This window comes from Homo sapiens, chromosome 22 (assembly GCF_000001405.40).
Source record: "Homo sapiens chromosome 22, GRCh38.p14 Primary Assembly".
In the NCBI taxonomy this organism is placed as follows: Eukaryota; Metazoa; Chordata; class Mammalia; order Primates; family Hominidae; genus Homo; species Homo sapiens.
The window spans coordinates 16651846-16679763 of record NC_000022.11 but is presented as its reverse complement, the minus strand read 5'-3'; the positions used below and the strand labels follow the sequence as shown (position 1 = coordinate 16679763).

At 38.2% G+C, this 27918-nt stretch overlaps 3 pseudogenes across 1 annotated transcript, besides 1 other annotated feature; all 3 read left to right on the top strand.

The window, feature by feature from the left end:
* On the top strand, window positions 166-8099 carry ANKRD62P1 (ankyrin repeat domain 62 pseudogene 1; annotated as a pseudogene).
* ANKRD62P1-PARP4P3 (ANKRD62P1-PARP4P3 readthrough, transcribed pseudogene) lies at window positions 4224-26056 on the top strand (annotated as a pseudogene). Its single transcript, NR_040115.1, has 9 exons — window positions 4224-4641; window positions 6012-6164; window positions 8176-8246; window positions 9503-9547; window positions 10144-10302; window positions 18209-18288; window positions 19795-19906; window positions 20136-20267; window positions 25688-26056. The product of NR_040115.1 is annotated as an ANKRD62P1-PARP4P3 readthrough, transcribed pseudogene (transcript).
* Window positions 20030-26161, top strand: PARP4P3 (poly(ADP-ribose) polymerase family member 4 pseudogene 3; annotated as a pseudogene).
* Window positions 22439-22639: a silencer, noted in NCBI's record as "peak4438 fragment used in MPRA reporter construct". NCBI's record gives its function as "represses an SCP1 promoter by STARR-seq MPRAs in K562 erythroleukemia cells {active_cell/tissue: K562}" and the evidence as "EXISTENCE:reporter gene assay evidence [ECO:0000049][PMID:32103011]".

Sequence of the window (27918 nt, the reverse complement as noted above, 5' to 3'; positions counted from 1 at the left end):
TAAAACAACTATGTATTCTTATAGCATCTATCCGAATTTGTAATTGTCACATTTTTGTCTGTGTTCTTTACTACACTTGAAGCTAAACAAGATCAGATGTGTTGTCTGTTTTATATGAAGAGCTTTCTAAAATATTTTCCACATTGCAAGCACTTAATATGTACATATTCATTCAGTGTATGAATGAGTGCCATGTTGAAATGCATAGTCCTTTATATTTAAAAACCTACTCATGTATTTTATCTCTATTTTGTCTTCTCCCGGTTACAGATTTTGTTAACCTATCGAAAATCAAGAATGCAACAGCTGCATGTGAAAGATCAATAGAGGATAAAAAGTGTTACTGTGAACGACTTAAAAGTAAAATTTCAAAAAATGAAAAATAATATTAGCATACTACAAAAGGTACTATCTGAAACAGACAAAACCAAATCACAGAGCATCAGAATCTTGAAAGGAAAAAAAAAGCTCTGTAAGTTGAGGTATCACATTCTAGTTTTAAAGAAATATTTGAACTGTTTATACTAAGGATATATAGGATAATTTTTGTAATAGCTGACTTACCTTCTAGGGTTTAATAGAGAAGAAAACCTCTTAAAATTGTGGAATGTGAAATTTTTGGATAAAAAAATCACAAGTTAATGGTGAATACTTCTCTAATAATTAATTGCATATTCCTTTAAATCATTATTTTAATGGCTATATAGAATTCCACCCTATGGAAATTTCATTATTTAATAAATTGAAATTGCGGGTTTTAATTTTTTGTATTAATGCTGTAAGAAACATCTTGTATATCCATAGTTGTCTACATTTCTATTTCTTTTCTTTGGATAAATTTTTCAAAATAGAGCTATCTGGTTAGAGTATAGGAGCTTTTTAAAAGAGATCTTTGATTAATATTACTAAGTTGTTCTTAAGAAAGTTTATAATTTATAATTTGAGTATGAAATGTATACTTTTCTCCACCCAGAGTGATTATTGTTAAAATTAACCAGTTTTTGTTTTTTTTTTTTGTCCTTTTGAGACAGTCTTGCGCTGTCACCCAGGTTGGAGTGCAGCAGCGAAATCTCGGCTCACTGCAGCCTCTGCTTCCGGGTTCAAGCGATTCTTGTGCCTCAGCCTCCCAAGTAGCTGGGATTACAGGCACATGTCCCCATGCCTTTCTAATTTCTTTTTTTTTTTTTTAAGTAGAGATGAGGTTTTGCCATTTTGGCCAGACTGGTCTCAAACTCCTGACCGCAAGTTATCTGCTGGCTTTGGCCTCCCGTAGTTCTGGGATTACAGTGTGAGCAATCACGCCTGGCCCAGTTTTACTCTTAATATGCAGCGAATGAAAAGTAAAATGGAAAGTGATTACTGATTAGTGAACATCTGTCTCTGCTACAGAGTTTAATTCAAACTTCTATGCGGAAGGCAGATATTATTCTTTATTGTTTAAATATTAGATCTTGTCTTGTTTGAGAATGGATTTTAAAATTGTTTGTAAAATACATACTAATCAACAGAATAAGTCAAAAGTGTTACCAGAAAAAGAAACATAAAACGTATGGGGTAACATCTTAGATTCCTTAGCTTAGTCTTGGATTATCGTCATCTGGAGAGCATCTGAAGGTGCTATCTTACAATGTAAATCATGTTTAGGGATACCTGCAGTATTTCATGAAGATGAAAATTTATTTCTAGTGAAGGTATCAACTTGTTTATAAAAAATAACTTTTTTAAAATTAGCTAACTCTAAATGATTCATCCTGACTGAGGAGTAATTATTACTGTGTGAAGAAAAGGTAATTTTTGGCCGGGCGTGGTGGCTCACGCCTGTAATCCCAGCACTTTGGGAGGCCGAGGCGGGCGGATCACGAGGTCAGGAGATCGAGACCATCCCGGCTAAAACGGTGAAACCCCGTCTCTACTAAAAATACAAAAAATTAGCCGGGCGTAGTGGCGGGCGCCTGTAGTCCCAGCTACTTGGGAGGCTGAGGCAGGAGAATGGCGTGAACCCGGGAGGCGGAGCTTGCAGTGAGCCGAGATTGCGCCACTGCACTCCAGCCTGGGCGACAGAGCGAGACTCCGTCTCAAAAAAAAAAAAAAAAAAAAAAAAAAGAAAAGGTAATTTTTAACTTGTAACTTTACCTAATAATTTTCAACATCCTTTTCCATAATATTTACTAGAATTACTAGTAACAGAAGCTAATCAATTAGCAGGATGTTCATTCCTTACTACCTTTCAATTTATATGTCTTCTTTGGAAGACACCGAAGTGACAAATTAATATGAAAACTAGAAAGAAAAAATATTCAAGAACATGGGCACTTTATTAGGATAATAAACCAGCATATGAGTGTTTTGTTTTTAAAGGATTTTAAGATAAGTATATTTAACTACAGATTTATCTTACAACAACAAGAAGAAGAAAGAATAAAGGCTGAAGAGTTGTATGAAAAAGATACAGAAGAGTTAAAAATAATGGAAGAGCAATATAGGACACAAACTGAAGTGAAAAAACAATCTAAACTGACTCTCAAATCATTGGAAGTGGAATTGAAGACTGTAAGAAGTAACTCAAATCAGGTAAATTAATGTTTGGTAAAATTTTACATTTCTAATTTTATTTTATTAATATTACTTAGAATATCCCTTTGACTTAGTTCTAAAACAAACCACAAATTTTATTTCATCTTAAAAATAAATGATACTTATAGCTACAATTATTTATTATAAATCTTGGCTTCAAAGTTATATTTTATTTCAGCTCAAAGACCTTTGGAAAACAATGATATCCCATAATATATATACTTAGTGATATTTTGTCGGTAAGTAATTTGTTCCTAGTGATATAGTTCAGTGTAGTTTTCCCTATTTTGCATTAATTATGGTCTCAAACATTGTGAAAAGGAAATAAAAGTTATCATAATAGTACATAATCTCAGGATTTCCTAAGAAGAGCTTTATAAATTTTATCTTCTTTGGTGTTTTGAAAGAAAAGTTTTCTATTGTATTGGTATATCTACCCCATGGAAGTAACTGTGATCTGGTGGAGGAGCACTAGAAGCAGTCAGAGGACCTAGGAAAAACCCAGCAGCTTGCTTCTATTTTTAACCTTTCCCTGCAGAATTGTGATAACTAAATGAATTTATTGATGTATGCATACCAAAGTGCTTAGTACAATGCCTAGATCTGTCATTTATCAATACATGTCATTGTTAAAACTGCCTCTAAAAATGTAAGAAAAGTAGAATTATCTATAAAATATTCACAGGAAAAAGAAACTTAAGGAATTTGGAAAATTTTATCTGTCCAGATATCTGCAGAGCTAAGGCTCTTACTATAGGGAAAGTAAAGGTTAGATGTTAGTGTGTAAGCCCAGTTTCTAAATGTAGTCATAGTTATTAATCATTTATGTTTTTGGGTTTGTTGAAATTCAGTAAAAGCCTTTTTTAAAAAAATCAGATTCTTAAAGAATTTCTAGTGGTTTCTTTTTTTTTTTTTTTTTTGGCTTTCATAGATTCATTGTCTTCAAATACGTTTTTGAACTTTTGAGAATTTATGCTCTAAAAGGTTTGAGGTTTTGATTCAACTTTTTTTTTCCAGTTGGATATCCAGATAGCAACTCTTTCATTATATAAATGTACAGGTTATTACTTATTTAGTTTCAGAAGAAATCATAGTATGTCATTTTATTGGGTGCTACTTGAAAGTTTTCTTTGTTTTATTTAGACTTCTCATACTCATGAAAAAGAAAGAGACCTGTGGCAGGAAAATCACTTGATGCGGGATGAAATTGCCAGACTCAGGCTGGAAATAGACACAATAAAACATCAGAACCGGGAAACTGAAAATAAATATTTCAAAGATATTGAAATTATAAAGGAAAACAATGAAGACCTTGAAAAGACTCTAAAGCTGAATGAGGAAACATTAACAAAAACAATAACCTGGTATAGTAAAGAGCTTAATGTTCTGATGGATGAGAATACAATGCTCAATTTTGAGCTAGAGAAGGAAAAACAAAGCACCCCAAGACTGGAAACAGAAATGGAATCATACCGTTGTAGACTGGCTGCTGCCCTATGTGATCATGATCAATGTCAGTCATTGAAAAGAGACCTACAGCTTGCTTTCCAGAGCACAGTGAATGAATGGTGTCATTTACAAGAAAATACTAATTCTCACATTCAGATTCTTTCTCAGCAACTTTCTAAAGCTGAGAGTACATCCAGTGGCCTGGAAACTGAGCTCCGTTATGAAAGAGAGGCTCTCAAAGAAAAGACGTTGGGTATAGAACACATGCAAGGAGTCCTAAGCCGAACACAGTGTCCATTGAAGGACATTGAACACATGTACCAAAATGACCAACCTATTTTGGAAAAATATGTGAGAAAGCAGCAGTCTATAGAGGATGGACTATTTCAACTACAAAGCCAAAATCTGTTGTATCAACAGCAATGTAATGATGCTCACAAGAAAGCTGACAATCAGGAAAAAACAATAATTAATATCCAAGTCAAATGTGAAGATACTGTAGAAAAACTTCAAGCTGAGTGTAGAAAGCTAGAAGAGAACAATAAGGGGTTGATGAAGGAATGCACTCTTTTAAAAGAAAGACAATGCCAATATGAAAAAGAGAAAGAAAAAGGAGAAGTAAGTATCAAGAAAAATAAGTATTTTTCAAACTTCCTGAAGTAAAATTTAAAGTATATTTGGTTATGGCTAAACACTGAATCTAGTTGAATATCAAAATATATACATGATAAACGGTTCTGCTATATCACCTTAGAAACTGAATTTGTTTCCAGCAAATAAAAGTTAGAGCTAGGAGATGCTTTCCTTTGAGTAAAGACAATGTGACACTTAGGAAATTTTAAACGTTTCAGTTACAAAATGTTAATATAGACTAACATTTATAATGTAGTCTTACAGTGCTGAAATAATTTTAATGTCTGTATGTTGCCACATTTTAGGATTATGATAAAGCAGATATAAAGAAATATTCATACCTAAAGTGTTATTTTGAAATAGATTCAATTAATTAGATTACTTTGACAGTTAATTCCAGATTTCCCAGATGAACAGATGAACTAAAGTGTATTTCCTATTTTATAATTATTCTTCCTCAATAGCTTTTAATGTATCTTAGTTGGTATAATTTTTTTTAATTCATGTCAATTTGACTTAAATCTGAAAATAATTCAGTCTCAAATTATATATTGATACAACCATTCCATTCTTTAAAGACATCTTTCTTACATTATAATATGGGGAAAATGTGGTAAATGTTACCCAAACCATATTTGATTTAATCTTCCCACTGGCATTTATAACTTACTTTCAATTTTTCAGTCAAAAATATGGTCATAATTTTTATTTCAAGGCTCAATGACTCATTTGGATATAAGGTTGTCCAGTACAAAGATCAGCTTAGCTGTCTGTGATTTATTAGTTTCACATCGGATCCTCATTTTTAGACTAATGAGGGGTGGTAGGAACGGTGGGAGTAGGGAAGAGAGACATAGCAGCTGGGGTCAGGGAGGGAAGTGGAAGCCAGGTTAACTAGAGCCTCTAAGGCCATTGGAATGTTAGTTTTCTTCTGAGATGGAAATCTATTGGAAGGATTTGAGCTGGTGACTGAATATGTGAGGAACTCTGAGGTTGATTTGAGCTTCTTCTTATAAAAAAGAGGGAAAACATTGCAGTGTAAAATTCACTGCCACCAGTCCCACCCACATACCTGTTTCTTTTTGAGACTTCAGAAGGTTTTTAAGCATTGCACATTCATCAGTGCACTGAATGTGTTGTATGAGTAACACAGCACCAGTGTGGCACAAAGATAACGCCTTCTTTATCCTTAACTGGATTCAGTAATAAACAGGAATGTGTACACATGAGGAGGAGGAGAAGAATCAGTGTGTGGTGGTATTTTTCAAAGTGTATATATTAGAGTTAAATATTATTAACAAAATTTAATAATAAGGTTATATGTAAAATCAGTAACAAAAATAACATCTTACCAGGTAGTCGTGAGATAGCTTCAACGAGAAGTGGGTGATGCCCTGAACAAACATTTGCTGTCAGAAGCTAGGCTAGAGATTTCATCACAACGTCGTGTTAATTTAGAAGATGAGACACGAAGTTCAAAAAAGAAATTAGGCCAGAGGAGAAGTCAAGTATGTATGAAACTTAGCATGTCAACAGTTACTCTGTAGCTGGTTAAATAATATCAAGTGTTTCAGGACACTAGTTTCAGTGGAGAGCTTTCTTTTGTATTTTCATTATAATTTTATTAAAATTTGATTATCTTTATAATACACCCATTTCTCAATCTCTGCCATGTTTTATAATTATAAATATTTTTCTTACACTATTTCCCCTTATGAAAGTTGAGAATTACACATCATTTCTCACAGAAGATTAGAGAATTCTTTTTTCTTTTTACAGTATATTTTTAGTGATTTCTTTCATTGCCACGTGGAGACAAGCCAGATTAATTCAGAGGATAATGTCTAATGGAATGTTTCAGAAAATTTTCTTTTTTTAATCTCTACTTTTCTGTGTGAATAAAGACTTATGCTTACTTATTTCATGGGTTTCTGGTTAACTGGTACAGAAAGGCCATTCTGCAGAATTAATATTTTGATGAAAATCCTTACTCTGACTTTATATCGGGCTATAGTCATAGTCATATGACTATGGACAGTTAGCATTTGCCAACATGTATGTGTCTACTTTCTCTTGTTTAAAACAAAAACAAAAAACTTTACAAATGGGGTTATAGAAGGTCAGCAAAGGCTAGGTTTGAGATGTTTGGGTGGGTCAAGTGGGCATTTTGATCACGTGGCTTCTCCTCTGGCATGTCAATGGACATCCCTGCATTTTAAGATGACACTTTTAAATAAATTCTCTCCTAATGATGACGTGAGCCCTGCCACTCTATAGGAGAATCTATCTATTTTAATTATTTTTCTGTGTATTTTAAAATGTTCTTGTGGTTTACCTGGAAAGGAAAGATGATGCTTAGTTTCAAATGTTAAAAATGGGTCGGGTGCGGTGGCTCATGCCTGTAATCCAAGCACTTTGGGAGGCTGAAGCGGGTGGATCACCTGAGGTTAGGAGTTTGAGAACATCCTGGCCAACATGGTGAAACCCCATCTCTACTAAAAAAGATACAAAAATTAGCTGGGCATGGTGGTGGCACACGCCTGTAGTCCCAGCTACTCGGGAGGCTGAGGCAGGAGAATCACTTGAACCTGGGGGTTGGAGGTTGCAGTGAGCCAAGATGGTGCCACTGCCCTCCAGCCTGGGTGGCTGAGCAAGACTCCGTCTTAAAAAAAAAAGTGCAAGTTTTCTTGCTACAACAAAAATTAAATGCATACAGACAAAAAATAAATGAAATTATAGTTGATATAGTGGTGTTTGGAATTGAAAAATATAAATGCTTACTATAATTTCCTATGTTTCCCCATTTTACCAATTTTGTAAATTTGAGTATCTGATAAAATATAAATTAAAAAAGAAAAATATTGTGTTTTAATCCTAGAGCATAGGCAGTAAACATTTCTGTAAAGGGCCAAGTAGTAGTATGTGAGACTTTGTGAGCCATAAGATCCCTGTTGCAACAACTCAACACTACAGTTACAGCACAAAAGTAGCCGTAAACAATATGCAGACTGAAGGGGTGTGGCTGCATTCCAGTAAAATTTAGTTAAAAAACAGTATAGGGGCCGGGAGCGGTGGCTCACGCCTGTAATCCCAACACTTTGGGAGGCCAAGATGGACGGATCACGAGGTCAGGAGATCGAGGCCATCCTGGGTAACACGGTGAAACCCCGTCTCTACTAAAAACACAAAAAATTAGCCAGGCGTGGTGGCAGGCGCCTGTAGTCCCAGCTACTCGGGAGGCTGAGGCAGAATGGTGTGAACCCGGGAGGCGGAGCTTGCGGTGAGCCGAGATGGTGCCACTGCACTCCAGCCTGGGCGACAGAGCAAGACTCTGTCTCAAAAATAAAAAAAAAAGGTAATAGGTCGATTTGTCCTAGATTATCATTTTTTAATAAAATAGATTGTGATAGTCTAAAACCAGTATTTTATATATAACCATATTTTGTTCATTCATTCACCTATTGATGGGCATTTGGGTTATTTCCACACCTAAAGGTTGTTTTTAATTCTTTGTTTTAGTTGCAAGAAATGCAGGATCAACGCACAGAGACTCTAAGATGTGCTGAGGAGATGCCAGACCACATGCAAAAGTACAATTTAAAGCAACATACAAAATATCTTGAGTATTTACAAAGCACATGAGTAGTGTAGTAGGAGAATTGTATCAGTTAAGATAATAAGTATGTCTATGTGAAGCCAAGGAAAAAATTCAGCTTTAGGCTATTTTGAAATGCATAAATTTTCTACATTATTTTTAATTTTATACATCATCCACAAAACAAAGGTAGAAAAATAACAATGGTTTCTCAATTTTCTACTTTTCAAATGTCTCAGAATTTATATAATTATTCCTTCAGATGTTTGTTCAGAATTTATATGATTTAAAAAAATTATATCTGAGAATAATTATTTTAAAATATATATTTTAGGCTTAAAATAGAAAATGCCATGTTAAAAATTAGAATGAAAAACCGAGTGGACAAAATTGAGCAGCTTCAGAAAATTTTGGTAGGTTCAAGTTCAGTAAGTCAATCTCTTATTTTCTGTCACACTGAAAAGGAATTTTATTTTTCTAGAATATCCCTTGTCCAAAATGTTTGGGAGGACCAAAAGTGGATTTTTTCAGATTTTGGAATATTTGTATACACCTAATGAAATACCTTAGGGATGGTACCCAAGAGTAAACGTGAAATACATTTATGTTTCATATATACCTTATGCATATAGCCTGAAGATAATTCTACACAATGTTTTACCTTTTTTTGTTTTTGTTTTTGTTTTTTTGCCCAGGGTTGGGGGGTGCAGTGGGGCACAGAGTCTTGATCTGTCACCCAGACTGGAGTGAAGTGGTGTGATCTCAGCTCACTGCAACCTCTGCCTCCCAGGTTCAAGCAATCCTCCTGCCCCAGCCTCCCAAGTAGCTGGGACTACAGGTGCGTGCAGCCACACCAGGCTAATTTTTGTATTTTTAGTAGAGATGGTTTCACCATGCTGGCCAGGCTGGTCTTGAACTCCTGACCTCAGGTGATCCACTTGCCTCAGCCTCCCAAAGTGCTGGGGTTACAGGCATGAGTCATCACATCTGGCCTGTACAATGATTTACAAAAATGTTTTGCATGTAACAAAGTTTTAACTGTGTTTCCACCACAGCCTGTCACATGAGGTCAGGTGTGGACCTTTCCTGTTGTGGTATCATGCGTGTGCTCAAAAAGTTTCAAATTGTACAGCATTTTGGATTTCAGATTTTCAAGTTAGTGTTGATCAACCCTCCTTAACATACAATAGGGCGACATGATAATGTCTCTTGTTTAACTTAAACATTATTAATAATATTTGACTGTTTCAGATGCAGCAGGTGTACAAGGAAACATAACTGTAGAAGTAGCTGAAGGTATGTTGCCAAAAATTATGAATTAAATTTAAATCATGGATTTCTGAAATAAATATAAATAGTGAGTGGGTTGCTTGGTTAACAAATACCACATTAAATACTTTTTCTTGTACACATTACTGAAAGATGTGAAAACATAAACATTCATAATGAAAAGTATACTTATGCCTCATTAGTTTATCATCTTCCATAGCTTTAAAAAAAGTCTTAAGAAGTCTATGTGTATCCCTTTTTTTTCTGGCTCTACACTTGTTCCATCTCTACGGAACTGTCAGCTTCCACACTGAAACTGTTCTCAGAAAACAAAGGCATCATCAGCTTCTCAAGGTTATGGTAGTGATTTAAGGCCAAGAGATGCTAGACTCATGTATCAAGCAATTACAGTTCATAAGCAGTCACTTGACCAGTCATATTTTAAGAGAGAGAGAGAGAGTGTGTATGTGTTTTATGTATACTTGGTTTCTGGACTCTGTTCTGTTCTACTGATCTCTATATCTTTATGCCAAAATCACACTGTTATGATTTTTGTAGCTTTGTAATAATTCTTCAAACTGGGTTGTATTTTTCCTCTAAATTTATTCTTTTGTTTTTTTCAGAGTTACTGCGCATTTCTGTGTCATCTACATGCCATGAAAGTCTTAAAATCAATTGTCAATTTCTACAAAATACCCGCTTGGATTTGAACTGTGATTGCATTATGTCATGAGAAAGAATGAACATCTTAACAATGATGAGTCTCTCAACTCATGAATAAGGTATTTTCTTAGATCTTCTTACTTTTTAGTTATCATTGTACAGATATTTTGCATAGTGTCAGATATATTCCCAAGAATTTTATATTTTAATGCTATTATAAATAGTATTATTTTTAAAATTTCAATTCCTAGCAGTTTATTTCTAACATATAGAATTACAATTGGTTTTTATATATTGATCATGTATCCTACAATGTGGCAAAACTCATTGGTGCCAGTAACGTTGTAATTGGTTTCACTTGGTTTTCCACATAGATGATTATGTCTGTGAATAAAGATAGTTTCACCTATTTCTTTTCAGTCTAGATGCCTTTCGTTTTCCTCCATTTCTTCCTTCCTCCCTTCTTTCTTCCTTTTTTCTTCCTTCCTTTCTTCCTTCTCCCAACTCCCTTTTAAAAAGTGATTACAGTGGCTCGAAATTGCAGTACAGTGTTGAATAGAAGTGGTAAGAGCTGACATGCCTTCTCGATCTTAGGGGAAAGCATTCAGTCTTTCATCATTACATAGAATGTTAGCATTAGGTATTTTAAAGATGCCCTTTGACATGTCGAGGAGATTCTCTTGTATCTCCAGTTTGCTGAGATTATTTTGTTAATGAAAAGTGTTCAATTTTCTCAAATGCTTTTTCTGCATCTAATACATAATCATATGGTTTTTATGTTGTTAATATAATTATAAGATTAATTGATTTGGGGGAGAAGGTTAAGTTGGTATTTAATTTAAAATAATTTTTAAATGTAGTTTTTTCTTGAATTTTTTAGTTCAAATCTTGTATTATGTTTAAAATGCTCTAAACTTTGTCAATTCTTTTTAAAAGTTCTGGTGAAATATACATAACATAAAATTTAGCATTTTAACAATTTTTAACTCCATAGTTCAGTGGCATTAAGTACATTTACAATGTCATACAACAATCACTACTATCCATTTCTAGAATTTTTTCATCATCCCTAATAGAAACTCTGTACCCATTAAATATCTTCCCATAATCCTTCTCTTCATCCCTAGTAACCTGTATTCTACTTTCTGTCTCTGTGAATTTATCTATGCCGGGTATATTATATAAGTGAAATCATAAAACATTGGCTTTTTGTGTCTGGGTTATTTCACTTAGCATAATGTTTTCAAGGCTCATCTATATCGTACAGCATGTATCAGTAGTTTATTTCCTCTTATTTGCAATTAATTTGCTATTGCTGAGAAATACCACATTTTATTTAATAGTTGATGGACATTTGTATTGTTTCCAGGTTTTAACTATTATGAATGATGTACTGTGGACACATATGTGGACATATGTTCCTCTTGGGTAAATACTCAAGTGGGAATCGAGATCAAATAGTAACTGTGTTTAATCTCAAGGAACTATCAGGCTGTTATTCAACACAGCTGTACAATTTTACATTTCCACTGGCAGTGTATGAGGGTTCCAATTTCTTCACATCTTTTCCAGTATTTATTTTTCATCTTTTTTATTATAGGCATTCTAGTGGTGTGAAGTGGTACCTCTTTGTGGTTTTGATTTGCCTTTCCCTTTGATGTTGACCATCTTTTCATGTGGTTACTGGCCATTGTCTATGTTCTTAGATGAAAAACCTGGTCGTTATCCTTTGACCATGTTTTAATTGATTGCCTTTTTGTTGTTGATTTGTAAGAGTTCTTTATATATTCTGAACAAGAATGTATTTTTTTACACTTTTTTCATAAACTTTGTTCTAAATCTTGTATTCTTGTTTCTGCGTTTTAAAATTTTGTTTCATCAGCCTCTTTCTCAAGAATTTACCATGTATACTAGTATCATATTTCTGTATTCCAATCTTCTTTTCATGATTTGCTTCCTTGCCCCAAAGAAAAAAATATATTCTCATTACCCAAATAATTTCCCACTTTACTCACACCCACTATTTTTCTATAATCCACATTCTCTCCTGGGGCAAAAGATTGGGAAGATTTATCTTACTGAGGGAACTTCCTTTATATTGTTCAGGAATAGCTTTAATGAATTTTACATACTTGGAGACATCAGGAGAAAGCATGTATGTCACTGCTTTTCTCAGGAGCACTGGCTCACATGCCTTGAAAGGATTTAGTAGACCTTTAATAAATGGCGTAAGATACTAACAGCTGCCATGTCATTAAGCATCACATTTACTTATCAAGAAGAAAATAATTTAGAATTTACCTGTCAAAATCTACTACAAAGATGGCATGTATTTGACTAAAACTGCAGTGTTTGTCCCTGTTGACATAACTATAGTCCCTGCCTTTCTCATGTTTTCCCTTTTTTTTTTATTATTATACTTTAAGTTTTAGGGTACATGTGCACAACGTGCAGGTTTGTTACATATGTATACATGCGCCATGTTGGTGTGCTGCACCCATTAACTCGTCATTTATATTAGGCATATCTCCTAATGCTATCCCTCCCCCCTACCCCCACCTCACAACAGGCCCCAGTGTGTGATGTTCCCCTTCCTGTGTCCAAGTGTTCTCATTGTTCAATTCCCACCTATGAGTGAGAACATGCGGTATTTGGTTTTTTGTCCTTGCAATTGTTTGCTGAGAATGATGGTTTCCAGCTTCATCCATGTCCCTACAAAGGACATGAACTCATCCTTTTTTATGGCTGCATAGTATTCCATGGTGTATATGTGCCACATTTTCCTAATCCAGTCTATCATTGATAGACATTTGGGTTTGTTCCAAGTCTTTGCTACTGTGAATAGTGCCACAATAAACATACGTGTGCATGTGTCTTTATAGCAGCATGATTTATAATCCTTTGGGTATATACCCAGTAATAGGATGGCTGGGTCAAATGGTATTTCTAGTTCTAGATCCCTCAGGAATCACCACACTGACTTCCACAATGGTTGAACTAGTTTACAGTCCCACCAACAGTGTAAAAATGTTCAATTTCTCCACATCCTCTCCAGCACCTGTTGTTTCCTGACTTTTTTTTTTTATACTTTAAGTTTTAGGGTACATGTGCACAACGTGCAGGTTTGTTACATATGTATACATGTGCCATGTTGGTGTGCTGCAACCATTAACTCGTCATTTAACATTAGGTGTATCTCCTAATGCTATCCCTCCCCCCTTGCTCCACCCCACAACAGGCCCCAGTGTGTGATGTTCCCCTTCCTGTGTCCATGTGTTCTCATTGTTCAATTCCCACTTATGAGTGAGAACATGCGGTGTTTGGTTTTTCATCCTTGCAATAGTTTGCTGAGAATGATGGTTTCCAGCTTCATCCATGTCCCTACAAAGGACATGAACTCATCATTTTTTATGGCTGCATAGTATTCCATGGTGTATATGTGCCACATTTTCTTAATCCAGTCTATCATTGTTGGACACTTGGGTTTGTTCCAAGTCTTTGCTATTGTGAATAGTGCCACAATAAACATACGTGTGCATATGTCTTTATAGCAGCATGATTTATAATCCTTTGGGTATATACCCAGTAATGGGATGGCTGGATCAAATGGTATTTCTAGTTCTAGATCCCTGAGGAATCGCCACACTGACTTCCACAATGATTGAACTAGTTTACAGTCCCACCAACAATGTAAAAGTGTTCCTATTTTTCCACATCCTCTCCAGCACCTGTTGTTTCCTGACTTTTTAATGATTGCCATTAACTGGTGTGAGCTGGTATCTCATTGTGGTTTTGATTTGCATTTCACTGATAGCCAGTGATGATGAGCATTTTTTCGTGTGTTTTTTGGCTGCATAAATGTCTTCTTTTGAGAAGTGTCTGTTCATATCCTTTGCCCACTTTTTGATGGGGTTGTTTGTTTTTTTCTTGTAAATTTGTTTGAGTTCTTTGTAGATTCTGGATATTAGCCTTTTGTCAGATGAGTAGATTGCAAAAATTTTCTCCCATTCTGTAGGTGGCCTGTTCACTCTGATGGTAGTTTCTTTTGCTGTGCAGAAGCTCTTTAGTTTAATTAGATCCCATTTGTCAAGTTTGGCTTTTGTTGCCATTGCTTTTGGTGTTTTAGTCATGAAGTCCTTGCCCATGCCTATGTCCTGAATGGTATTGCCTAGGTTTTCTTCTAGGGTTTTTATGGTTTTAGGTCTAACGTTTAAGTCTTTAATCCATCTTGAATTAATTTTTGTATAAGGTGTAAGGAAGGGATCCAGTTTCAACTTTCTACATATGGCTAGCCAGTTTTCCCAGCACCATTTATTAAATAGGGAATCCTTTCCCCATTGCTTGTTTTTGTCAGGTTTGTCAAAGATCAGATAGTTGTAGATATGTGGCATTATTTCTGAGGGCTCTGTTCTGTTCCATTGGTCTATATCTCTGTTTTGGTACCAGTACCATGCTGTTTTGGTTACTGTAGCCTTGTAGTATAGTTTGAAGTCGGGGGCATAATGCCTCCAGCTTTGTTCTTTTGGCTTAGGATTGACTTGGCGATGTGGGCTCTTTTTTGGTTCCATATGAACTTTAAAGTAGTTTTTTCCAATTCTGTGAAGAAAGTCATTGGTAGCTTGATGGGGATGGCATTGAATCTATAAATTACCTTGGGCAGTATGGCCATTTTCACGATATTGATTCTTCCTACCCATGAGCATGGAATGTTCTTCCATTTGTTTGTATCCTCTTCTATTTTGCTGAGCAGTGGTTTGTAGTTCTCCTTGAAGAGGTCCTTCACATCCCTTGTAAGTTGTATTCCTAGGTATTTTATTCTCTTTGAAGCAATTGTGAATGGGAGTTCAGTCATGATTTGGCTCTCTGTTTGTCTGTTATTGGTGTATAAGAATGCTTGTGATTTCTGCACATTGATTTTGTATCCTGAGACATTGCTGAAGTTGCTTATCAGCTTAAGGAGATTTTGGGCTGAGACAATGAGGTTTTCTAGTTATACAATCATGTCATCTGCAAACAGAGACAATTTGACTTCCTCTTTCCTAATTGAATACCCTTTATTTCCTTCTCCTGCCTGATTGCCCTGGCCAGAATTTCCAACACTACGTTGAATAGGAGTGGTGAGAGAGGGCATCCCTGTCTTGTGCCAGTTTTCAAAGAGAATGTTTCCAGTTTTTGCCCATTCAGTATGATATTGACTGTGGGTTTGTCATAGATAGCTCTTATTATTTTGAGATATGTCCCATTAATACCTAACTTATTGAGAGTTTTTAGCATGAAGGGTTGTTGAATTTTGTCAAAAGCCTTTTCTGCATCTATTGAGATAATCATGTGGTTTTTGTCTTTGGTTCTGTTTATATGCTGGATTATGTTTATTGATTTTCATATGTTGAACCAGACTTGCATCCCAGGGATGAAGCCCACTTGATCATGGTGGATAAGCTTTTTGATGTGCTGCTGGATTTGGTTTCCCAGTATTTTATTGAGGATTTTTGCATCAGTGTTCCTCAAGGATATTGGTCTAAAATTCTCTTTTTTTGTGGTGTCTCTGCCAGGCTTTGGTATCAGGATGATGCTGGCCTCATAAAATGAGTTAGGGAGGATTCCCTCTTTTTCTATTGATTGGAATAGTTTCAGAAGGAATGGTACCAGCTCCTCCTTGTACCTCTGGTAGAATTTGGCTGTGAATCCATCTTGTCCTGGACTTTTTTTGGTTGGTAAGCTATTAATTATTGCCTCAATTTCAGATCCTGTTATTGGTCTATTCAGAGATTCAACTTCTTCCTGGTTTAGTCTTGGGAGAGCGTATGTGTCGAGGAATTTATCCATTTCTTCTAGATTTTCTAGTTTATTTGCGTACAGGTGTTTATAGTATTCTCTGATGGTAGTTTGTATTTCTGTGGGCTCATTGGTGATATCCCCTTTGTCATTTTTTATTGCGTCTATTTGATTCTTCTCTCTTTTCTTCTTAATTAGTCTTGCTAGCGGTCTATCAATTTTGTTGATCTTTTTAAAAAACCAGCTCCTGGATTCATTGATTTTTTGAAGGGTTTTTTGTGTCTATATTTCCTTCAGTTCTGCTCTGATCTTAGTTATTTCTTGCCTTCTGCTAGCTTTTGAATGTGTTTGCTCTTGCTTCTCTAGTTCTTTTAATTGTGATGTCAGGGTGTCAATTTTAGATCTTTCCTGCTTTCTCTTGTGGGCATTTAGTGCTATAAATTTCCCTCTACACACTGCTTTAAATGTGTCCCAGAGATTCTGGTATGTTTTGTCTTTGTTCTCGTTGGATTCAAAGAACATCTTTATTTCTGTCTTCATTTCCGTTATGCACCCAGTAGTCATTCAGGAGCAGGTTGTTCAGTTTCCATGTAGTTGAGCGGTTTTGAGTGAGTTTCTCAATCCTGAGTTCTAGTTTGATTGCACTGTGGTCTGAGAGACAGTTTGTTATATTTCTGTTCTTTTACATTTGCTGAGGAGTGTTTTACTTCCAACTATGTGGTCAATTTTGGAATAGGTGTGGTGTGGTGCTGAAAAGAATGTATATTCTGTTGATTTGGGGTGGAGAGTTCTGTAGATGTCTATTAGGTCCACTTGGTGCAGAGCTGAGTTCAATTCCTGGATATCCTTGTTAACTTTCTGTCTCATTGATCTGTCTAATGTTGACAGTGGGGTGTTAAAGTATCCCATTATTATTGTGTGCAAGTCTAAGTCTCTTTGTAGGTCTCTAAGGACTTGCTTTATGAATCTGGGTGTTGCTGTATTGGGTGCATACATATTTAGGAGAGTAAGTTCTTATTGTTGAATTGATCCCTTTACCATTATGTAATGGCCTTCTTTGTCTCTTTTGATCTTTGTTGGTTTAAAGTCTGTTTTATCAGAGACTAGAATTGCAACCTCTGCCTTTTCTTGTTTTCCATTTGCTTGGTAGATCTTCCTCCATCCCTTTATTTTGAGCCAATGTGTGTCTCTGCACATGAAATGGGTTTCCTGAATACAGCACACTGATGGGTTTGACTCTTTATCCAATTTGCCAGTCTGTGCCTTTTAATTGGAGCATTTAGCCCATTTACATTTAAGGTTAGTATTGTGATGTGTGAATTTGATCCTGTCATGATGATGTTAGCTGGTTATTTTGCTCGTTAGTTGATGCAGTTTCTTCCTAGCCTTGATGGTCTTTACAATTTGGCATGTTTTTGCAGTGGCTGGTACCGCTTGTTCCTTTCCATGTTTAGTGCTTCCTTCAGGAGCTCTTTTAGGGCAGGCCTGGTGGTGACAAAATCTCTCAGCATTTGCTTGTCTGTAAAGTATTTTATTTCTCCTTCACTTATGAAGCTTAGTTTGGCTGGATATGAAATTCTGGGTTGAAAATTGTTTTCTTTAAGAATGTTGAATATTGGCCCCCACTCTCTTCTGGCTTGTAGAGTTTCTGCCAAGAGATCCGCTGTTAGTCTGATGTGCTTCCCTTTGTGGGTAACCCGACGTTTCTCTCTGGCTGCCCTTAACATTTTTTCCTTCATTTCAACTTTGGTGAATCTGACAATTATGTGTCTTGGAGTTGCTCTTCTCGAGGAGTATCTTTGTGGCATTCTCTGTATTTCCTGAATCTGAATGTTGGCCTGCCTTCCTAGATTGGAGAAGTTCTCCTGGATAATATCCTGCAGAGTGTTTTGCAACTTGGTTCCATTCTCCCCGTCACTTTCAGGTACACCAATCAGACGTAGACTTGGTTTTTCACATAGTCCCATATTTCTTGGAGGCTTTATTCATTTCTTTTTATTTTTTTTCTCTAAACTTCCCTTCTCGCTTCATTTCATTCATTTCATCTTCCATCGCTGATACCGTTTCTTCCAGTTGATCGCATCAGCTCCTGAGGCTTCTGCATTCTTCATGTAGTTCTCGAGCCTTGGTTTTCAGCTCCATCAGCTCTTTTAAGCACTTCTCTGTATTGGTTATTCTAGTTATACATTTGTCTAAATTTTTTTCAAAGTTTTCAACTTCTTTGCCTTTGGTTTGAATTTCCTCCTGTAGCTCGAAGTTGTTTGATCGTCTGAAGGCTTCTTCTCTCAACTCGTCAAAGTCATTCTCCGCCCAGCTTTGTTCCGTTGCTGGTGAGGAACTGCATTACTTTGGAGGAGGAGAGGCGCTCTGCTTTTTAGAGTTTCCAGGTTTTCTGCTCTGTTTTTTCCCCATCTTTGTGGTTTTATCTACTTTTGGTCTTTGATGATGGTGATGTACAGATGGGATTTTGGTGTGGATGTTCTTTCTGTTTGTTAGTTTTTCTTCTAACAGACAGGACCCTCAGCTGCAGGTCTGTTGGAGTTTGCTAGAGGTCCAGTCCAGACCCTGTTTTCCTGGGTATCAGCAGCGGTGTCTGCAGAACCACGGATTTTCGTGAACCGCAAATGCTGCTGATTGTTCCTCTGGAAGTTTTGTCTCAGAGGAGTACCCGGCTGTGTGAGGTGTCAGTCTGCCCCTACTGGGGGATGCCTCCCTGTTAGGCTGCTCGGAGGTCAGGGGTCAGGGACCCACTTGAGGAGGCAGTCTGCCCGTTCTCAGATCTTCAGCTGCGTGCTGGGAGAACCACTGCTCTCTTCAAAGCTGTCAGACAGGGACATTTATGTCTGCAGAGGTTACTGCTGTCTTTTTGTTTGTCTGTGCCCTGCCCCCAGAGGTGGAGCCTACAGAGGCAGGCAGGCCTCCTTGAGCTGTGGTGGGCTCCACCCAGTTCGAGCTTCCCGGCTGCTTTGTTTACCTAAGCTAGCCCGGCCCCTCCCCCAGCCTCGCTGCCGCCTTGCAGTTTGATCTCAGACTGCTGTGCTAGCAATCAGTGAGACTCCGTGGGCGTAGAACCCTCCGAGCCATGTGTGGGATATAATCTCCTGGTGCGCCGTTTCCTAAGCCCATCGGAAAAGCGCAGTATTTGGGTGGGAGTGACCTGATTTTCCAGGTGCCGTCTGTCAGCCCTTTCCTTGACCAGGAAAGGGAACTCCCTGACCCCTTGTGCTTCCTGAATGAGGCAATGCCTTGCCCTGCTTCGGCTCATGCACCCACTGTCCTGCACCCACTGTCTGGCACTCCCTAGTGAGATGAACCCGGTACCTCAGATGGAAATGCAGAAATCACCCGTCTTCTGCGTTGCTCACACTGGGAGCTGTAGACCGGAGCTGTTCCTATTCGGCCATCTTGTCTCCTCACCCCATATATTCTTAATTATAAGACAAAGATTTGGGTTTTTTTTTTTTTTCCTTCCCTAAAACCACTTTTTGGCTGTGTGCTGTGGCTCATGTCTATAATCTCAAGACTTTGGGAGGCCAAAGTAGGAGGATCACTTGAGTCCAGGAGTTGGAGGCTACAGTAAGCTCTGATCACACCCACTGCACTCCAACGTGACAGAGTGAGCCCGTCTCTCAAAAAAAAAAATGAAGCTTGCATTTTTAAATAAAAATGGTTGTTAATTCTGAGTTCAACACATGTAAACATTCATTTTTCAATTTTGATATTTCATAATATAGTAAAATATCTTGATTAGGATACCTGTAGGTACTAACCACTAGAAATAACTTGATACACCAGTGTAACTGGTTATAACTGTTGTTTATCTGTTGAATATTTAGGTTTACTCTTCTAAGCTATTTGTAACAAGAGCCTAAAAACTGGGTTTCCTTCATTGAACTTCATGCCTCTCTGGTTATTGAAGATGGCAAGCGAGGGGCACTCTGGATACAGGTCAGTTTCCTGACAACCATCAGGATAGTATGATAGGCACACGTTTCCAACCGTCCTCATTTATTTAAATAGCAAGCTAATTAAGGACCTTGAAGAGTATTAGAGAGTTTCACGATCTGCTCATGTCCTGTGATTTAATTGTATTATAATTCTTCAATGGGAATTTTATAAACAGGCAGTTTGAGATGCAGAGTTTCCAACAGACTTAACGGAGTTTTTTCCCCTTTAGGTATAAAATGAAGAGAATGTCTCCTGGACCTAATTGCCACAATGAGATACTACAGTTTATTCGCACCAGGGTGGAAAAAAAGGGAATAGTGTTCAAATCACTGATGGAACTGGATGACGCTTCTATTTCCAGGTGGCTTTAACTATAGTATTACGCAACTTATTTATATTTTCAACTATTTATTTAATAAACCTTACAAACAAGCTATAGGGAATTATCTTACATGTGTAGACTACTTTATAAGTATGTAGGAAGATAATTTGTTTGCAGGTGACAGCTTGCCCCAGTCTCCTGTGGCGGGCAGGGCTTATGTGGTATTTGTGCCTTGGGCTGCACAGGAAATGGGCTCAAAGAGTTTCAGTGCAGCTCCCCCTGGAGCCCGGCACTTCTGGCTCTGGATATGGTACTTTTCACTGCAGTGTGCTGATTCTGGGTGCCTCCAGAAGACCCACAATGTGACTGTTGGGCCCAGCCCTGTTCCCAACAATGGCAGGGCCTGGGACAAAAATACAAGTATTTAAAGTTTATAACTTTATAGTTTATAACAATACAAGTATTTAAAAAGTTATAAATCAAACTAGCAAACTATTAGATTAAGAAGTGTGTCCTAATCTCCTCCCTTGGCAAATACAACTTCATAACCACCTGGAAGGCCAGGTTCAAATTCAGCCCTTGGCTGACCCCTAGCACCCTAAGAGGCCTTGCCTGCACACATGAATACCCCACCCCACCCATCAAAATGCCATCCAGACCCCATGCCAGTGCCCCCTCACCCCAGCCACCTTGCAGCACCAGTGAGATGGCAGCACTGTTCAAACTCAGGATGACAGACCAGGGAAGACCCTGGAAGTGGACTCAGGGCCATGTGGTCAGGAACGCTAGAGTTGCAGGGTCTAAAAAGGAGGATGTGGGTTCCGGGGTGGGCACATTCTCTTGTCCCTACAGACCCTCCACCCCATGGCGAGAGGGGCATGACCAGAGTAGGATCCCTCTGACATACGTATATATGTATATGTATATGCATACACATATGCACATACATACACATATACACATATACATACACATATGCACATGCATACACATACATGCATACACATACATGTGCACATGCATACACATATACACACATATATATAAGTATATACATACACATATGCACATACATACACACATACACATGTATACATAACTATATACATACACATGCACATACATACACATGTAGATATATACATACACATATGCACATACATACACATATACATACACATGCACATGCATACACATATACACATACACATATGCACATGCATACACATACACATATGCACATGCATACACATATACACATGTATGTATAAGTATATACACACATGCACATACATACACATGTATATATAAGTATATACATACACATATGCACATACATACATACACATGTAGATATATATATACATACACATATGCACATACATACACATATACACATATACATACACATGTAATTGGCTTATGTTCATTTAAAGGCAAGATAAGGGGAAAACTAATCAAACTAATAAAAATACTGTTGCAAGGGAGGTTTGGTAGAGAGGACAAGGATGGAAGCTAGGTTTCTCCTAGTGTGATTTGTTTTGCAGTTTTGACTTTGGAACTATGTAAATATTTTATGTAATAATGGATAAGATTGATATTTATTTATTTGTTGAGACAAAGTCTGGCTGTATCACCCAGGCTGGAGTGCAGTGGTGCAATCTCAGCTCACTGCAACCTCCGCCTCCTGGGCTCAAGCCATCCTCCCACCTTGGCCTCCTAAGTAACTGGGACTACAGGCATGCACCACCATGCCCTGCTAATTTTTGTATTTTTTGTAAAGACAGGGCTTCACCATGTTACCCAGGCTGGTCTCGAACTCCTGAACTCAAGCAATCCTCCTGCCTCAGCCTCCCAAAGTGCTAGGATTACAGACGTGAGCCACCATGCCCAGCCTGGGAATTAATTTAAGATGACTTTAAAACATAGTAAATAATTTGACTGTGTCAAATTATGTCAAATCCCCTAGTGGGATAGTGCCTAAGGATTAAAAAATATTACAAAGAAATCTCACTGGGAGTAGCCATGGTGTTAATAACACTTTTGATTTGTTATTTTGGAAGGTAGATACTAATATTGTTAGAAACTAATATGTATAAAATCAAACAAGTTAAATGAAAACCCTTGATTTCTAAACTTGAATTAGATTAGAGGAACATGTTATGTGACACCATGCAAATGCAGTCAGCAAAGTCTGGAATGTGGGGAAATAAATGGCAAGAGAAAAAAAGGGTTGAGGAGCGAACCTATAAATAAACCTTTAGAGACATGTCAACCAAAAGCAAGAGTAGACCTTGTTTAGATCCTAGTTTGAACAAAACCCACTGCATTTTAAAAAATGAGACAGGGAAAATTAAAACACTACCTGGATATTTTATGATATTTAAAGAAATATTGATAACTATTTTTTTTTTTTTTGAGATGGAGTCTCGCTTTGATACCCAGGCTGGAGTGCAGTGGTGCAGTTTTGGCTCACTGCAAGCTCTGCCTCCCGGGTTCACACCATTCTCCTGCCTTAGCCTCCCAAGTAGCCGGGACTACAGGCACCCGCCACCATGCCTAATTTTTTTATATTTTTAGTAGAGACGGGGTTTCACCGTGTTAGCCAGGATGGTCTCGATCGCCTGACCTCGTGATCCGCTCGCCTCGGCCTCCCAAAGTGCCAGGATTACAGGCATGAGCCACTGCGCCTGGCCTGATAACTATTTTTTAAGTGTAACGATTAAGAAAAAGTTCTTGAACACAAAACAGGTGTTCAGGAATTTCTGGACTAGGCACATTGGCTCATGCCTGTAATCCATGCACTTTGGGAGGCTGAGACAGGAGGACCAGTTGAGCCCAGCAAGATCAAGCCCAGGAGTTTAAGACCAGCCTAGGTAACCAATGAGACCCCCATCTCTACAAAAAAACTTTTTTAAATTACCCAGGCATTGCTGGGCACAGTGGCTCACACCTGGAATCCCAGCACTTTGGGAGGCCAAGGCAGGAGGATTGCTTGCTTCCAGGAGTTCAAGACCAGCCTTGACCACATAGCAAGACCCTGTCTCTACAAAAAAATTAAGAATTACCTGAGTGTTGTAGTGTGTGACTACTCAAGAAGCTGGGGGAGGGGGGGGGATTGCTTGAGCCCAGGAGGCCAAGGCTGCAGTGAGTTGTGATCATGCCACTGCACTCCAGCCGGGGCAACAAAGCTAGACCCTGTCTAAAAAAAAAAAAGAATCATAATTTACTATATGTAATTTATACTTCCATTTTTTGAAAAGCAATACCTTCTCATTAGTTTGCCAAGAAAGATGAGAATTTATTCTTTTTTCTATTTGGGGGGTTTTCTTTTTTTTTTGTATTTATTTATTTATTTATTTATTTATTTATTTATTTATTTATTTACTGAGGCAGGGTCTCATTCTGTTGCCCAGGCTGGAGTGCAGTGGCATAATCTCGGCTCACTGCAACCTCTGCCTCCCAGGTTGATCACTTGAGCCCAGCAAGACCAAGTCCAGGAGTTTAAGATCAGCAATTCTCGTGCCTCAGCCTTCCAAGTAGCTGGGATTACAGGTGCGCACCACCGTGCCCAGCTAATTTTTATATTTTTAGTAGAGATGAGGTTTCGCCATGGTGGCCAGGCTGGTCTCAAACTCCTGGCCTCAAGTGAAAATAAACCAGTGCCACTTGCCAAGAGAATTAATTAAATAAATATCAAAGAAAAAACACTTTGAACAGCTAGGAGATGGGACTAAAAAATTAGTATTTGACTTAATAGGCACATCCAAAGAGGTAATTATTCTATTTATATTGTTCCTAATTAGTAATATTATAGCTGTTAGAACAAGTATAAACTTTGAACGTGCTTTTGAACTGTAATACCACAAAGTATTAAAGCAAGATGTTCAGAACTGATCAAGTATATTGCAGCATATAGCTCTTACTACATTACTGCTATGGTGCTAGCAAAATGGTTTGCTGGCACTTGAGTACATAAGACAATACGATGTTAGGCCAGGCGCGGTGGCTCACGCCTATAATCCCAGCACTTTGGAAGGCTGAGGCGGGCGGATCACAAGCTTGCAGTGAGCTGAGATTGTGCTCCTGCACTCCAGCCTGGCAACAAAGCGAGACTCTTGTCTCAAAAAAAAAAAAATTAAATATTTTTTATTTCCTGTTTATTGCATGTTTGAAACTTTTTTCTGTATTTTCTATTTCGGGATGTACGTAACATTGATGCAGGAGTACATTACCTGGGGGTGTAGGCACAAGGTTTTCTTACTAGTGGAATGTGAACCAAAAAGTGTAGAGGCCACAGGGCTAAAGGAGGCCGGCTGAATTAGTGAAAATATTCAAAGCCAGTTTTGTTGTTTTCAGCAGTCAGTAACTGTCAGTAGACGAACATTTACCAGGAAATGTCGGTCTTTTAAACTTCGGGCATGGTTCTTATTTAGTATGTTCATTCTATCATGACATTCAGTGAACATTTATTGAGTGCCCACTGTGTACCAGGGATTAGTATGCACGTTAAATTTATAAGCTTTGTTGATTTCCACCACAAACCCATGGGACCTCATGTTATTCTCACAATTGAGGAAACTGAGATTCCCAGTGTTGAATGAAAGCCACACAGTATCACATGGCCAGTATCATGTGATTGCAGAGTCAGGACTCAAACCCAGCTCTTCACCATCATGCTATACTGATGGCCCTTTCCCAGTTCACAGGGAGAAATGAGGAACAGGGAGAGAATTTTCAAAATATTAGGTTTTCCCATAGAATTTTCTGAAGAACTTTGGTGTATGTTGCCACTTGTTCACTAACAAGTTCTAACAGATGACAGAACAAATGAGGAAGTAGCTAATTAATATTAATGAACAACCCCAGAATTTTTCTGAGTGTTGAATAGACTTGAATATTCAACAGTCTCAAATATTTGACACCATTCAGTGGACACACACTTGACTCGATAAGCTTATTCTACCAAGTTGTTCCTGGTTTATGTGACACAGCTGAACAGATGCCAGTTTCATGGGGGACTGTCAGATATTCTGAAGGGACCTAATCAAGTCAGTACAGTGGGAAGGAGAGAGAAACAGAAGCCTCGTTTGTGAAATACTACTTGAGTTTGTGCATGAAGAATGGATAGGATTTAGACTGAGAAGCTTGGAAAGGGGACAACCACAAACAACTGTAGAGAGGCTGGAACCTGAGCTGTCCTGTAGGCAGCAGGGATGCCTGGAGGCACGTGGAAGCCAGGAGGTGGGGGGCACAGGACACTTGACAATGCAGTGCATAAGCTCAAGTTCAGATGGTTAGAAGAACTTCCGGAAGATGTCAAGGAAAACTGCTTTTATTAAATATCTTAACTTTTGGCAGAATCATTTTGTGTGATATAATGTGATGGGTTTAGTACCACATTACATTTCACATGTTATATTCTGAAATCTGAAACATTTATTTTTTTTTAACCTAAGAATATTCCCTGGGCTTTTGAAGCAATAAAGAAAGCAAGTGAATGGGTAAGAAGAACTGAAGGACAGTACCCATCTATCTGCCCATGGCTTGAACTGGGGAATGACTGGGACTCTGCCACCAAGCAGTTACTAGGACTCCAGCTCATAAACACTGTGTCCCCTCTTCGTAGAGTCCTTCATTACAGTCAAGACTAAGTCAAATGAAACTGAATTTTAAACTTTTTGCATGCTTCTATGTAGAAAATAATCAAATGATAATAGATACTTATAATGAAACTCCATTAAGGTTTTATTCAGTGTAGCAATTAGTGTCTTTGAAAATAAAGTGGAAGCAGAATTACTTTAATCAACTAACAAGCAATAATGAAACAAAATATTTGTTTTCTGTCTCATTTTTTGTTATTTTTTAATTTTTTATTTTTTTGAGACGAAGTTTTGCTCTTGTTGCTCAGACTGGAGTGCAATGGCGTGATCTCAGCTCACTGCAATCTCTGCCTCCTGGGTACAAGCAATGCTCCTGCCTCGGCCTCCCGAGTAGCTGGGATTACAGGTGTGTGCCACCATGCCCTGCTAAATTTTTGTATTTTTAGTAGAGACAGGATTTCACCAGGTTGCCCAGGCTGGTCTCGAACTCCTGATCTCAGGTGATCCACCTGCCTCGGCCTCCCAAATTGCTGGGATTACAGGCATAAGCCACAGCACCTGGCCTGTTGTTGTTTTAGAGATGGTCTCAATCTGTCTCCCAGGCTGGAGTGCGGTGGTGCGATCATACCCCACTGCAGCCTCAAACTCCTGGGATCAAAGAATAGTCCCACCTCAGCCTCCTAATTGAGACTATAGGCATGTGCCACCACACCCAGGTAATTTTGGGGTGTACTTTTTGTAGAGATGGGGTCTTGCTATGCTGCCTAGGCTGGTCTTGAATTCCTGGCCTCAAGCAATCCTCCCACCTCAGCCTCTTAATGTGTTGGGATTACTTGTGTGAGCCTCTGCACCCAGCCAGTGTTTCAGAGCTTTAAGGTGATGAGAGATGCTTCTGGATGGTCCTGGGAGCCTGTGTCCTTCTCACATTCAGGAGTCCAGTGGAAAGCTGGCTCAGCTGGACTGAGCAAGCTGAGAAGAAACATGGTCTTTTGTAGGGGATCTGTCAGGGTGGTGGGAGAAATTATAAAAATTAAGTTGTAGGAGATAGACACAAAACTTCTTGGAAGGCTGGGAGGTTTGCATACCTTCAGTAAAAGATTTGGCTGAAGGCAGCTGAATTCTCTTAAAAGCTTAGGGCGTAGATACATAGGAATGTAGAGAAGTTTATCTAAATAGCTTGTTTACTCATGTGGTCCTAAAACAGACCTTTGATCATTTGCGGGCGCATGACTGCTCTCTACTCAGGAGGTCAGCAATGTTAATTACCCTCTAGTGGTGTGGTGTTTACTTGAGAACTTTGTCATTAAATCTGTACTGAATAAATGCCTGGAGCCCCAGCCTGACAGGGCTGTGCCTGGTGACTCTTTATAGCACCTGCTGACTCTTTATAGCACCCTCCTCAGTGTCTGGGAGCTGCCCAGTCCCCTACCCCATTCTTTCACAGGATACCTGTGTCTGAGTGCATTTCTTCATCCATCACGCAGCCAGGGTCTGCAGGTTGGACCCAGCAAGTTATTGACAGAGTTTGAAAATTATACAGGATTGGTTGTTGAGTTGGATATTTTAGTCAACATTTATTAAGCCCATGCCTCAGCAGTAGTTGACTTTTGTCTAAAGGGAGAGAAAGAAATTCTAGTTTTCCCAAACGTCCAAGGCTCCAAACAAAACATACTGAATTAAGATTTCCAGAAGAAAGTCCTGGCAACTTGGATATTTAATAGGTGCTCCAGGTTATCAAGCACATTGGAACACAATGGCCCAGGTGCTGTATCTCAAAATGTGAGTCTGTGGACTGGCATTGTCTGCCTCACTCGGGAACTCAACAAGAGACGCAGAATCTCTGGTCCTGTTTGAGACTATTGAATCAGAAGCTGCATTTTATTTAGCAAGGCCCCCAGGTGACTCCTATGCATGTTTATAGTTGAAGGGCTAGTGGAGTGTGGTGACAGGAACATATTTGGTGCTTGTTCAGGGCCTTGTTTTAAGAACCCATGATGCTTGTGCCCAGTGGAGCAACCCATCAGTCCAATTGTTGGGAGAAAAGCTGAGGCAAGACTTGCTAGTCTGACATAATATGAAAAGAGCCT